Source organism: Homo sapiens, chromosome 13, assembly GCF_000001405.40.
Source record: "Homo sapiens chromosome 13, GRCh38.p14 Primary Assembly".
In the NCBI taxonomy this organism is placed as follows: Eukaryota; Metazoa; Chordata; class Mammalia; order Primates; family Hominidae; genus Homo; species Homo sapiens.
In genome coordinates, this window is record NC_000013.11 from 52,116,542 (window position 1) to 52,128,822 (window position 12,281).

General features: G+C 40.2%; 1 protein-coding gene across 17 annotated transcripts in view, besides 1 other annotated feature; it reads right to left on the minus strand.

The window, feature by feature from the left end:
- The window catches only part of NEK5 (NIMA related kinase 5), a 95,463-nt gene that overhangs the window by 82,931 nt on the left and 251 nt on the right, over positions 1 to 12,281 (minus strand). For 13 of the 17 annotated variants that reach the window (XR_941575.3, XR_941574.3, XM_047430293.1 and 10 more), the window contains exons 2-4: positions 11,054 to 11,121; positions 10,825 to 10,963; positions 2,778 to 2,874 (exon numbers count right to left, since the gene is read on the minus strand). Coding sequence is in view for 13 of the 17 variants with exons in the window: in XM_047430291.1 (XP_047286247.1) it covers positions 2,778 to 2,874; positions 10,825 to 10,963; positions 11,054 to 11,121 (304 nt within the window). In the remaining 4 variants the exon portion in view is untranslated. Of the gene's footprint in view, positions 1 to 2,777; positions 2,875 to 10,824; positions 10,964 to 11,053; positions 11,122 to 11,722; positions 12,261 to 12,281 lie in introns of those variants that run through there. The other 4 variants (XM_047430289.1, XM_047430292.1, XM_047430294.1 and 1 more) reach the window with 4 other exon arrangements.
- Positions 5,810 to 6,016: a silencer, noted in NCBI's record as "fragment chr13:52696487-52696693 (GRCh37/hg19 assembly coordinates)". NCBI's record gives its function as "represses an EF-1alpha promoter that drives an FKBP-Casp9 reporter gene in an ReSE screen in K562 erythroleukemia cells {active_cell/tissue: K562}" and the evidence as "EXISTENCE:reporter gene assay evidence [ECO:0000049][PMID:32094911]".

Sequence of the window (12,281 nt, forward strand, 5' to 3'; positions counted from 1 at the left end):
ACCATGAGCCACAGATAACAGTCCCAGCTGACACCTTGATTTCAACTAGCTGAGACTCCGGGCAGAGAATCCAGCTAAGCCAACCTCAGGCTTCTGACCTACAGAAATCAAGAGATAATAAATAGGTGTTGTTGTTAAGCCACTAAATTTGTGTTCATTTGTTATGTAGTAATAGAAAACAAATACAACAGCATGGGAATTTTTGCCTATTTTGTTTGCTGATATATCTCCAAGACCTAGAACATGCCTGGCATATAACAGACACTTAGTGAATGTTTATTGATGGAATATACATGGAATTAATTTTGTCTTAGGAAAATATCACTACATTCTCATTATTTTTCTTATGTTGCTTCAAACCAATAAAAACATCCTATTTTCTTTTTTTTTTTTTGAGACAGAGTTTCACTCTTCTTGCCCAGGCTGGAGTGCAGTGGCGCAATCTCAGCTCACTGCAACCTCTGCCTCCCAGGTTCAAGCGATTCTCCTGCCTCAGCCTCCCAAGTAGCTGGGATTACAGGTGCACACCACCATGCCCGGCTAAACGTTTTTGTATTTTTAGTAGAGACGGGGTTTCACCATGGCCAGGCTGGTCTTGAACTCCTGACCTCAGGTGATCTGCCCGCCTCGGCCTCCCAGGGTGCTGGGATTACAGGCATGAGCCACTGCGCCCGGCCAAAACATTCTATTTTCTATAGACAAACATTAGAGCCATGGTTCTTATGATCAGAGATAAGCGATTTGAGGGAAAACAAGCCTTTACCTACACTCTCTAAAAGACAGAGGCTACAAGGCCTCTGAGGCTTTTAGATAAGCTCAGTAGTTCAAGTCCCAGCAATCAGCCAAGCAAACTCAAAGGCATCACAATAGCTCTAGCTTTCCTAAACACAGGGGTGCTCTACTTAAAAAGAGTCATAAGAAAATGTAAACTTACAGTATCAACAAACACAGCAGAGGTTATGTATACTGTAAAAATGACCTTAGTTCTGCAAAAGCTTCCAGTGGTAAACTGTCCTCAAAAATCAATCTCACATGGTATAAGGAAATACTCCAGTCTCTAAAAGTGGTCCAGTCCATTTGCTCATTCAGTAAATAGGTATTGAGCAGCCATTGTGTGCTACATGCCAAGGATCAAGTGGTGAGCAAAACAGATGGAGCCCCAAAATTCATTAAGTTTACCATGTAAAGGGCGACAAATATGAAACAAATTCATAATTATATAAATAGACATATGTAAGTACAACTGCTGTGGAAGAGAACCAAAGGGAGCTGTAATTTGAATTGTGAGTTCAGAAAAGGCCTGAGGATAAGTAGGAGTTAGCCAGAGAGTCACAATAATCTCAAACAAAATAAAGAAGAGAAAGATCATCTTATAGCATTATCAGTATCCAATGGACAGGAATGCAGGGCACTTTATTCAGTGGCTTTCCTTGAAAGTTATTCCATGCAACCCAATTCCAGACCATGTGTACTGTTCTGCTCCCAGGAAGACCTCAGAAGAGTCCCAAGAGCTCTTTTTAAATACCCAGAAGCCAAAGAAGGGCCATACACACAGAAGTACCTTGAATGTAGCGGTTTTAATCAGTAAGGAACACAGTGCTCTGCACAGTTTACATACTCAAGACACAGTGGCTGTATTTATTTATTGACTGACTTTTACCCAACTGATGATGCTTGAAGATATTGAGGTTAACACTTCTGCTCCATGAACTAATTATCAGTCTTAAAACAGCCCTGCGCTGGGGGCTGGGCTGGGGAATGACCCTTCATAAAACTGTCAGCACATACAGCCCTGTCACAACTTAAGACACACCTGACATACTGTAGATTTGTTTATTGTCTATCTCTTCCCACTAGAATATAAATTTCATGAAAACAGGGATTTTCATCTGCTTTGTTCACTGCTATATTCCTGACACCTAGAACAATGCCTGGCATAGAGTAAGCACTCAATAAGTATCAGTTCAGTGAATGAATGCTGTCTGACCAATGCTCCTTCATTTATTATTTATTTTTTACCTTTGGACTACAGTGATGCGTGGAGGCAGAATTGTATTCAGATGTATGGAGGAAGGGACTTCCTTCCCTAAAGTTGTCAGCAGAATTGTATTCAGGTGTACAGAGGAAGGTACTTCCTTCCCTAAAGTTCTCCCCCTCTCCGTGGCAGTGTGCTAGGCTATGGTGCGTGGCTGTTTGCTGGCTCTCTGTAAGAGGATTACACAGTCCCATCTGTTGCCTGAGGATATGCAGGATCTCATGTAAACAGAGTACCCCCCAGCACACACACACAAACACACACATCCTAGCAGGGCTTTGAGAGCGATAGTGTGGTGGGCTCTGTGTTTTCCCCTCTTCTCTTGCTTATGAGAACAGCTGGTTCCTTATCTGAGCTGCTCCTTCAGCCTGGGCCCCAGACTCAAGACCCCAGCCCACCACAGCTAGCATGTAATGTAAGTGAGAAATAGATGTGTCTTATTGTAAGTCACTTAAATTTGGGGGTTGTTACTACAGCAAAGAAGCTAATAAGCCAGTCATTAATTTTTTGGGAGAGTGAGAATTAAGGAGAGGCAGAAAAACAAGAAAACATAAGAAAGCCGTCTACAAAAACTTACTAGAGAGGAAATAACGAGGACGTCTCAAGCTGCAATTTAAGTAAATGGGGAAATGACCCATTTACAAAAATTAATTTATACACAGTCCTTAGGAACAAATCTTTTTACATATGTCAACATGCCTATACTTTATAAAAATACTTAACGAATATTAGAAAATCAAACCTTGAAATGAATTGAAGAAGGCTACAATGTTGGGATGTTTCATCTTTTCCAGAAGAATCACTTCTTTCTTTGAAGCTTCTTTTTCTTGTATGGGCATCTAAATTACATTAAGAGACAGAGTAGTCTATAAAGCTAACTTGGTTTCAAGAACATGCTTTCTGCTCATTTCCATCTAAAATTCTCTAGGATTTCACTGGCTTTTAATGTCACTTTGAAAACGATCTTTCAATGGCAGGAAACAACATTTCTAGAATTAGCAGAGTGCCCTACATCTCATCAATGGTTTGTTGACAACCATCATCAAGAAAATAAATATTTCTGGTGAAGTTTTGCTATATTAAAAGTTGGACTGGTGGTACCGTGTTCATTATCTAGCCATATGGAGCCATATTTTAATATCTATCTTTCAGTAGCGAAGGAATTCTTTATAAAAATGCAACATTCCAGGAGCAATCACTGCTGAGAAGAAACAAATGAAATCTAAAAAAAGAAAATGTGTCATATCCCACAGAAATCAGGTCAGTAAAATTTTGTATTAAGATGACTACATTTTTCATTTTCAAATAAAAATTGTCTTGCATGACTTCATTTTAGAAGTATTTGGGTGTATTTTCTTGTTCTACTTTCACCTATAGACAATACTTGCCAAGGGGTTTGGTGCCAGTACCAGTGGCCACACCTCATTTCTACTTTTTCTTCCTCACTCTTGATGCTTTGCTGACTTGTCATTTCTACCCTGACTTCCAGCCCCTGACTGCCCCGCTTTTCTGATGTCCACGGGGCCTCCACCCATTAGAGGTCTTCAACATTGGCCAGATTTCTCATTCTCATTTAGACTTAAGAACTTCTTAAAAATTAATATTCTCAATTCTAGCTTCCCTACATCTCAGCTGAAGGATCCTTCAGTAAGTTCCTTAAACCCCTCTAAGCTTCAGTGTTTCCTGCCCCAATTTAAATTGTATAGTCAGTACATAGGAGTTTCAAAACAAAAACAGCTAAATTACTCCTACCAGCTGGATACATTTAGCAACTTAAAAAATTCCTAACTACTATTTATTTAAAAGAATATTATAAACAAAATTAAAAGACAAACAAAAGGATAAGATACAATATTTGTACCATATATGACAAATATATTTATAATATAAAAATTGATGGCAAATAATTTTTAAAAAGGCAAACACCCCAACAGAAAAATAGCAAAGTACAAGAATAGTCAACTCGAAAAAAAAAGAGAAATAAAAATGGCTGATAGAAAAAATATTCAATCTCATGCAGTAATCAAAGGAATAAAAACTAAAGCAAAATTTGGCTGGGTGTGGTAGCTCATGCCTGTAATCCCAGCTCTTTGGGAAGCCAAGGCAGGCAGATCACTTGAGGCCAGGAGTTCAAGACCAGCCTGGCCAACATAGCAAAACCCTGTCTCTACTAAAAACACAAAAAATTAGCCAGGCGTGGTGGCACACACCTGTGGTCTCAGCTACTCAGGAGGCTGAGGCAGGAGAATCCCTTGAACCTGGGAGATGGAGGCTGCAGTAAGCCAAAATCACACCACTGCACTCCAGCCTGGGTGACAGAGTAAGACTCCATTGCAAAAAAAAAAAAAAAGGAATAAAAGCTAAAACAAAATGTAATATAGTATTCCATGTATGAAACTGGCAAAGATGAAAAGAATGTCAATAACTACTATTGGCCAGAAAGCAGCAAAATGGACACTCATTTATTTCTGGTAAAACTACACAAATTGATAAAATATTTCTGGGAAGGCAGTTTTACAATATATAATATGAATCTTTAAAATGTTCATTTTTGTGGGGGGTCTGTATCCTGCTGAAGAAATCTTTTTTTTTTTTTTTTTAAGACAAGGTCTTGCTCTATCACCCAGGCTGGAGTGCAGTGGCATGATCTTGGTTCACTGCAGCCTCTGCCCACTGAGCTCAAGTGATCCTCCCACCTCAGCCTCCTGAGTAGCTGAGACCACAGGCAAGCACCATCATACCCGGCTAATTTTTTGTATTTTTAGTAGAGATGGGGTCTCACCATGTTGCCCAGGCTGCTCTCGAACTCCTGGCCTCAAGTGATCTAGCTGCCTCAGCCTCCCAAAGTGCTGGGATTACAGGCATGAGGGAAATGTTCCTATTTTTGACTAATTCTTCTAGAAATTTATCCAAAGAAGATAATAAAAGGGTACAGAAGAGTTCTCATACAAAAGACTTTGTTACAGTGTTTTATTGCTAGTTTTTAAGTTACTCTAATAATGCACGCTTGTTTTAAGTCAAATAGAAGTGAATAAGGTAAAAGTGAAACTTCCCTCTTTCTTTCTCATCTAGCCCACAGACGAAAGCCCATAGGTGGTAACCTTACTCTTAATGGCAAAAATGCAATTACTTTTGCGCCAACCTAATACTATATTCCCTAGGGATAACTGTTGTTAATAGTTAGAGCTTTTTATTTCATGCATATATAGGCAAGCATATATACATAGTTTTGTTTAATAAAAATGAATCATACTTTACATATTAAATGCTATTGAATCGTAGCCAAAAAACCAACCAAACAATGTAATTATCTGAAAATAGAAAAAGAGTTAAATAAATTACAGGGGTGTTTTGCTAGCTTTTTTTTTTTTTTTAAGACAGAGTTCTGCTATGTTGTCTAAGCTGGATTTTAACTCCTGGGGTCAAGGGATCCTCCCAACTCATCCTCCAGAATAGCTGGGACTACAGGCACTTGCCACCATGCCCAGCTAAATTATGGTATTTTTGACCTGCTACCACTTTAATGCTATGCAGTCATTAAAAATAAAGGGAGGCAATGTAGTATCATGGAAAGAGCAGAGAAAGACTTAGATGGATCTGCTGATTACTGTGCATCCTGGAGCTAACTGCTTAACCTCTTTAGCCTCAGCTCTTTCACTTGTACAGTGAGAGTAATGAGAGCTACCTTTTAAGTGGTTGTGAAGATTAAATTGAGTTGATATACATAATAAAACACCCAGGATGGTGTGACATATAATGGACACCCTGCAGGTGGTCCCTTTATCATTAGTGTGAACACATTTAATATCATTAAATGACAACATTTTATTATATAAAAATATTGAATGAGATGAGGAAATATTCACAATATATTGCTAATATAAAAAACTGTTACAAAAGAGTATACCTGGGCTGGGCGCAGTGGCTCACACCTGTAATCCCAGCACTTTGGGAGGCCAAGGCAGGCAGATCACGAAGTCAGTAGTTCGAGACCAGCCTGGCCAACATAGTGAAAGCCTGTTTCTACTAAAAATACAAAAATTAGCCAGGCATGGTGGCATGCGCCTGTAGTCCCAGCTACTCAGGAGGCTGAGGCAGGAGAATTGTTTGAACCTGGGAGGCAGAGATTGCAGTGAGCAGAGATCACGCCACTGCACTCCAGCCTGGGCAACAGAGCGAGACTCCGTCTCAAAAAAAAAAAAGAGTATATCTACCATGACACCAATCATTCTAATAACTTATATACTTATACATTAAAAATAGTCTAGAGAGAAATTCAGCAAAGTGTTCATAGTGATTAAGAAAGAGGTTATATGCTATTTTTATTTTCCTCTAAATGGTCTTATTTTCTCCTTTGGCTCTTTTCAAAATTTCTACAACGAACATTTTTATTTTCACAATTGAGGAAAGATAAAACACTTTTATTTGAGCCCAGAAGGAAAAGAACATGCTTGATAATGGTAGGATGATAAGAGAAATATTAGCTTTTTGGTACCTGTAAGAAAACAAGCAATTTAGTTCTGGGGTCTAGTGTAGGGAGTAGGGAGGCATTAGAGAGAAGAAATATAAATTTCTCTAGATAAGAAGTAATGAAAAACTACATGAGAGTAGATAGGAAGAAAGAAGTAATAAATGTTAATATTGTGACACAGATGTTATAGGTAAATTCGATAACATAAACAGATATGGGAAAACAAGAATAATGAGGTCTAATATAAGATTCTACTTATTTATGGCATAGTGACAAGAGTAGTTCATGAGTAAAGTGATGAAAAATTGGTGCTCTATTAGAAAAATATAGTCAATTTTTGATTATACTAAAGAATGGGAGAGATGCTATGAAATGCAGTAATGTTAATGTACATTTTTATAGAGATTCACCTCTCAAATATTTTCTCTTTACATAGAATTAAAATGGTTTTATAATTCCTAAGTATATACCAGCTTCACAGTAGAGCAAGAGGGCCTGAAAGCATCTGTCCAGTGAATCATCTATCCAATAAGAAGTTATTGAATATCTCCTGGCACCAAGCATTAGGTGCTGTGTGGAATACCAGCACAAAACACACATGGACTCGGTCCTCACAGAACATATTACAGCTAAATAAGGAGGAGAAGGCACAAAATAAACAGCCAAAGCATGTCCAGAAAGAAAGCAGTCAGTACTATAACAGAGGTTCCAATAAAAGTTATGCAAGTTTACAGAGAAGGATAAATTCTTTAGAGTGGGAGGATTCTGGAGGTATGGTAGAGCTCAGCCTTGAACAAGTGGGATCTTGATGCTGGGAGATCAGCAGGCAACGACCTTGGAAGAAGTAGCCCCAGAAGCAAATGCAGAGGCTGGAGTGGGGAAAAAAAGTAGGGTATGTGATAGGAGCTGTAGTTTTGGAGCAAATCAGAGAGGGTCTCAAAACTTCTCTGAAGAGTGAAACAATATAAAAGCACAAGGCAGACCAGGCACAGTGGCTAACACCTGTAATCCCAGCACTTTGGGAGGCCAAAGTGGGAGGATCACTTGAGGCCAGCCTGGGCAACATAGCAAGATCCTGTCTCTAAAAACAATTTCAAAATTAGCTGGGTGTGGTGGCGCATGCCTGCAGTCCTAGCTACTCAGGAGGCTGAGGCAGGAGGATGGCTTGTTCAAGGTTACAGTGAGCCATGATGATGTCACTGCACTCCTGCCTGGGCAACAGAATGAAATCCTGTCTCAAAAAAAATGCACAAGGCAAACCCCACTTTCTACCTCAATAATAACAATTTGTGTCTTTCTTTGTACATATATGAACATATTTGTAGGTATACATATATATGGAGAATATATATATTTTTCCAAAGATTATATTATTTTACACTTACTATTTTCTCAAACATTGCAAACATTGAAATTTTCCCATGTCAATGCTTCACCTACAACATGATTGCTAATAGCCACTTAGTTTTTTATAAATTACTTAACAAATTACCTACTGTTGGACATTTGTTTTCTAACTGTTTATCTGTGGGGTTTTTCTTTGAATAAACTCCTAATTTCTTAGTTTTCTACTGAGTTTCAAATTTTTGTACCATGACTTCATATATGGATTTTATCTTTTTATTGATTTAATAAAAGGCTAACACCATTAAGTCAATACTTGCAAATATTTTTGGCACCTTCTCGATTTCTTTGAATTTATTTATAGTGTTTGTTTTGACATACAAACGTTTTCTATTTTTATGTAGTCAAACCTAGGCAACTCTTTCTTTACAGCCTCTGTCCCAGTGAAGGTTTGGGGGCATGGCTGGAGCATTATCAAAATTGGGCTGGAGCCACTTGAAGGATCCAAGTGACCCAGGGCCTCGACAAAAGGACTGAAGCAAATTCAAGGAAGAGGAAGAGTCAACAGTATTCGCCAAATAATTGAATGTGGAGAAGGAATAAGCTCACAAACGATCCCAAGGTTTTCAGGCTGGCAACCATAAGGACACTGATGACATTAATACAGCGCAGCACATAGGAGGTGAAGTGGGTCTGCTTACAACAAGGAAGAATCACTATTAATACTTGTTTTTGGGTACAATTGTGATACCGAGCCTCCAAGGTGGTCTCAATGATCGTCATCCTAAATTCTTGATGCACAGGATCTCTGAGACAATAAATGTTTATTCTTTAAGCCACTAAGTTTGGGGTAATATGCTACACAGCAATAGATTAATAACATAGATGTTGGATGGGTGTGGTGGCTCATGCCTGTAATCCCAGCACTTTGGGAGGCCGAGGCGGGTGGATCACGAAGTCAGGAGATTGAGACCATCCTAGCTAACACAGTGAAACCCCGTCTCTACTAAAAATACAAAAAATTAGCCAGGCGTGGTGGCGGGCGCCTGTAGTCCCAGCTACTCGGGAGGCTGAGGCAGGAGAATGGCATGAACCTGGGAGGCAGAGCTTGCAGTGAGCCGAGATGGCACCACTGCACTCCAGCCTGGGCGACAGAGCGAGACTCCACCTCAAAACAAAACCACAGATATTACCTGAAGTTATCTAGCTGGCAGAAGAAATGCAGAACTAGGGTACTGAAAGATGCCAGGGGTAGAGACAGAGATTTAAGAGAGATCTACTTATTGGTAAACACTGAAGTGGGGCAGTTTAGGTGACAATGGACAGAAAAAGAAAATCAGAAAAGGACACATGGTTGAGGACATACACAGGGCGAAGACAGAGATAAGCCTGAGGGAGAGCAGTCAGATAAACAAAAGAGAGTGAGCAGAATAATGTCATGGGAGGAAGCTATTGCGGGCCACTAGAATAAGAGGACATTATTATGAATATGCCATGGATTCACAAAAAGAGACCTATATTGGGAAATAAATCATTATCCCTGGAAGCCAGTCATCTACTCTTGAGCTTTAAGTTTGGGTAGGTTTTCTTGCAATTTTTTGTGGTAAGATAAAATTTATATCATTTTAACGATTTTTAAGTGTACAGTTCAATGGCATTAAGTATATTCATATGGTGTAACTTGGGTAGTCCATTTTGCACACACTTTGTATGGAACTTTTTATGCTACTCTCATTTATAAATCCTCTAGAAGCTGACCAACAAGACTTGCCTTAGAATTAATTCTAGCAAACAATGGACATTGTTGTCCCAATATATTATGAAATGAACATATCACTAAAGAGGGTGACATAAACACTGACCAAGGTGGATTTAGCAAAAATTATTAATTTTTAATTAACTATATTTATTTTCCAAAATCATTAGACCAACAATTACATATAGTTTTTCTCTATTCATTCAGTGCACTCAATAAATGTGTTTAGCACCTATTATGTGACAGGAACTGTTCTGCATACTGAGGAAGACAAGCAATAAACAAATGAATAATTAAGAGAGCAAAGTAATTGCAGAGCATTATACATGCTAGTAAGAAAATAAACCAGGCCAGAAGCAGTGGCTCAAGCCTGTAATCCCAGCACTTTGGGAGGCCAAGGCGGGCAGATCACTTGAGCTCAGGAGTTCAAGACCAGCCTGGGCAACATGGTGAAACTCCATCTCTACTAAAAATACAAAAAATTATCCAGGCATGGTGGCATGCACCTGTAGTCCCAGCTATTCAGGAGGCTGAAGTGGGAGAATTGCTTGAATCCCGGAGGTGGAGATTGCAGTGAGCCAAGATCATGCCACTGCACTCCAGCCTAGGTGACAGAGCGAGACTCCGTCTAAAAAAAGAAAAGAAAAGAAAACAAAAAAGAAACCAGGAACCAAGGTGGTGTGATAAGGTGATAAGGTGTGATTGTGGCTGGGGGTCTACTCTAGCTAGGATGTTTGCAGAAAACCCCTCGTAGAGGACCTGAATAAGGAGAGAGGAAGTGCACCACAGAGAAAAGTCAGGGCAACAGAGGAGGCTGGCATCTCACAGGGCCTTGCAGGGCACCCTAAGGAGGGCCATAGGAGCCACAGGGATGTGATCTTATTTCTTTTCTATTTTCATTAAAAAAATTTTTTTTTAGCAGGGACAGGGTCTTGCTATGTTGCCCAGGCTATCTCGAACTCCTGGCTTCACACAATCCTCCCACCTTGGCCATCCAAAGTGCTGGGATTACAGGGGTGAGCCAGTGCGTCCAGCCTCTTTTTAAAAATGAGATCATTGGTTGCTGTTTGGACAATGGACTTAGGAGGTTGAATTAACAAAAATCAATTATGGCTTAAAATTCGAAATTATAAAAAATAAAAATTTCCTTTTTATATTGGATTAAAAGCCAGCTGAATATCCCACTGAAAATTAACAGAAATTTGAACTTAACTTTACCTTTTCAAAATTGATCTCTTTTATGACACAGTGCTTGCTATCTGATTTCCCTTTAGCTAAGTATGCTTTCCCGAAGGCACCTTGCCCGATGGCCTTAATCACATCGTACTTATCCATGGTCTCCAATGGGCTGAGTTTCCTGGAATTAGAGTAATGTAAATTTATCACACACGTCTCATAAAGACTAACAAAGTCAGAAAACTGATGACTAAAGTGTAAAAGAACTCACTTAGCTAAAACTTTCCTCCCAGCCTTGCCAAGACAGAGACAAATAACTTTCTTTGTGGCCACAGATAACTGAAATGAGACAGAGTTTCTTGGTCAGACACGGGTCATAGCTCAGCTTTGATACACTTTTGCCCTGTATTCTCGGGTAAGTCACTTAACCTGGCAAAACCTCACTTTCCTAATTTCTAAAATGGAATAACAATACCTGTTTTGCAAGTTTGTTCTGAGAATGAAAGATACTATATCCGGTGTTTCGCACCTTTATAAAGCAGGAATGTCCTTAGGCTTGTGCACTTTTATAGTTCAGCCTTTCTTAGTGGGGACGTACTGCCCCCTAGGGGGAATTCTGGAAATATATGGGGGTGGGGAAGCTGTTTCCCCAAGATTCAGAGGCATGAGGTTTACAGGTGGTTGGGGCCTGAGATGGTAGGATTCTGCGATTCGAGAGACAGTCCCGCACAATAAAGGATTACCCCGCGGCCCTACAATCTTGGAGAGTCTTCCTATACATTCCTGTGCGTGGAAAAATCCGTTTGTGGCTAGAACCAAACTCTATTTTACATCGAAATGCTAAGTATTTTTGCAGTTTTAATGAACACTTCTTTTTTTTTTCGAGGAATGCAACTACATGTAAATCAAGGCTTGATTGCACTTCGGTTTGGAGGTTTACCAAGAATTGTTCACCATTTGGGAAAACCACGCGCTTCACTGGCCACGCTGCTCCTGGTCCCGGAGACCCAACAATCTGCATTTGCTGCCGTCACGTTCAGGCGACTCCCCAGGCGCGGCTACTGGCTACTTCTCTACATTTTCCAAGGGTAGTAGTGCCAAGCATTTTCAGATTGAAATATGTACTTTCTTACTTATTGCTTTCCTTCTATTTCCTCTTTATGCTACAGTTAGGGCATAATACAGTTTTGTTGTTGTTGTTAATGGGGTGAGCAGGGGGCTTGTTTTCGAATAATTTTACGTCAGGGTGGGAAGTCGGTACTGGGTTGCAGGGGGCTGGGAACCAGCTCCGCAGCCAGGAGAGGCTGCAGACACCGGAGGATCGGGTTCTGAGAGAGACGCATACGGACTTGGGGCCGGGGGTGACTCGCCGGGAACTGAGGGCCCGCGACCCTCCCGCCCAAGTGGCACCAAAGGGTGGAAGCCCCCAAATTAGGAAAATTCCTTCTCCCCTAGGGCCGCCCCTGGAAGCGGCCGCGGGTGAGTGGCAAGACGCTTAC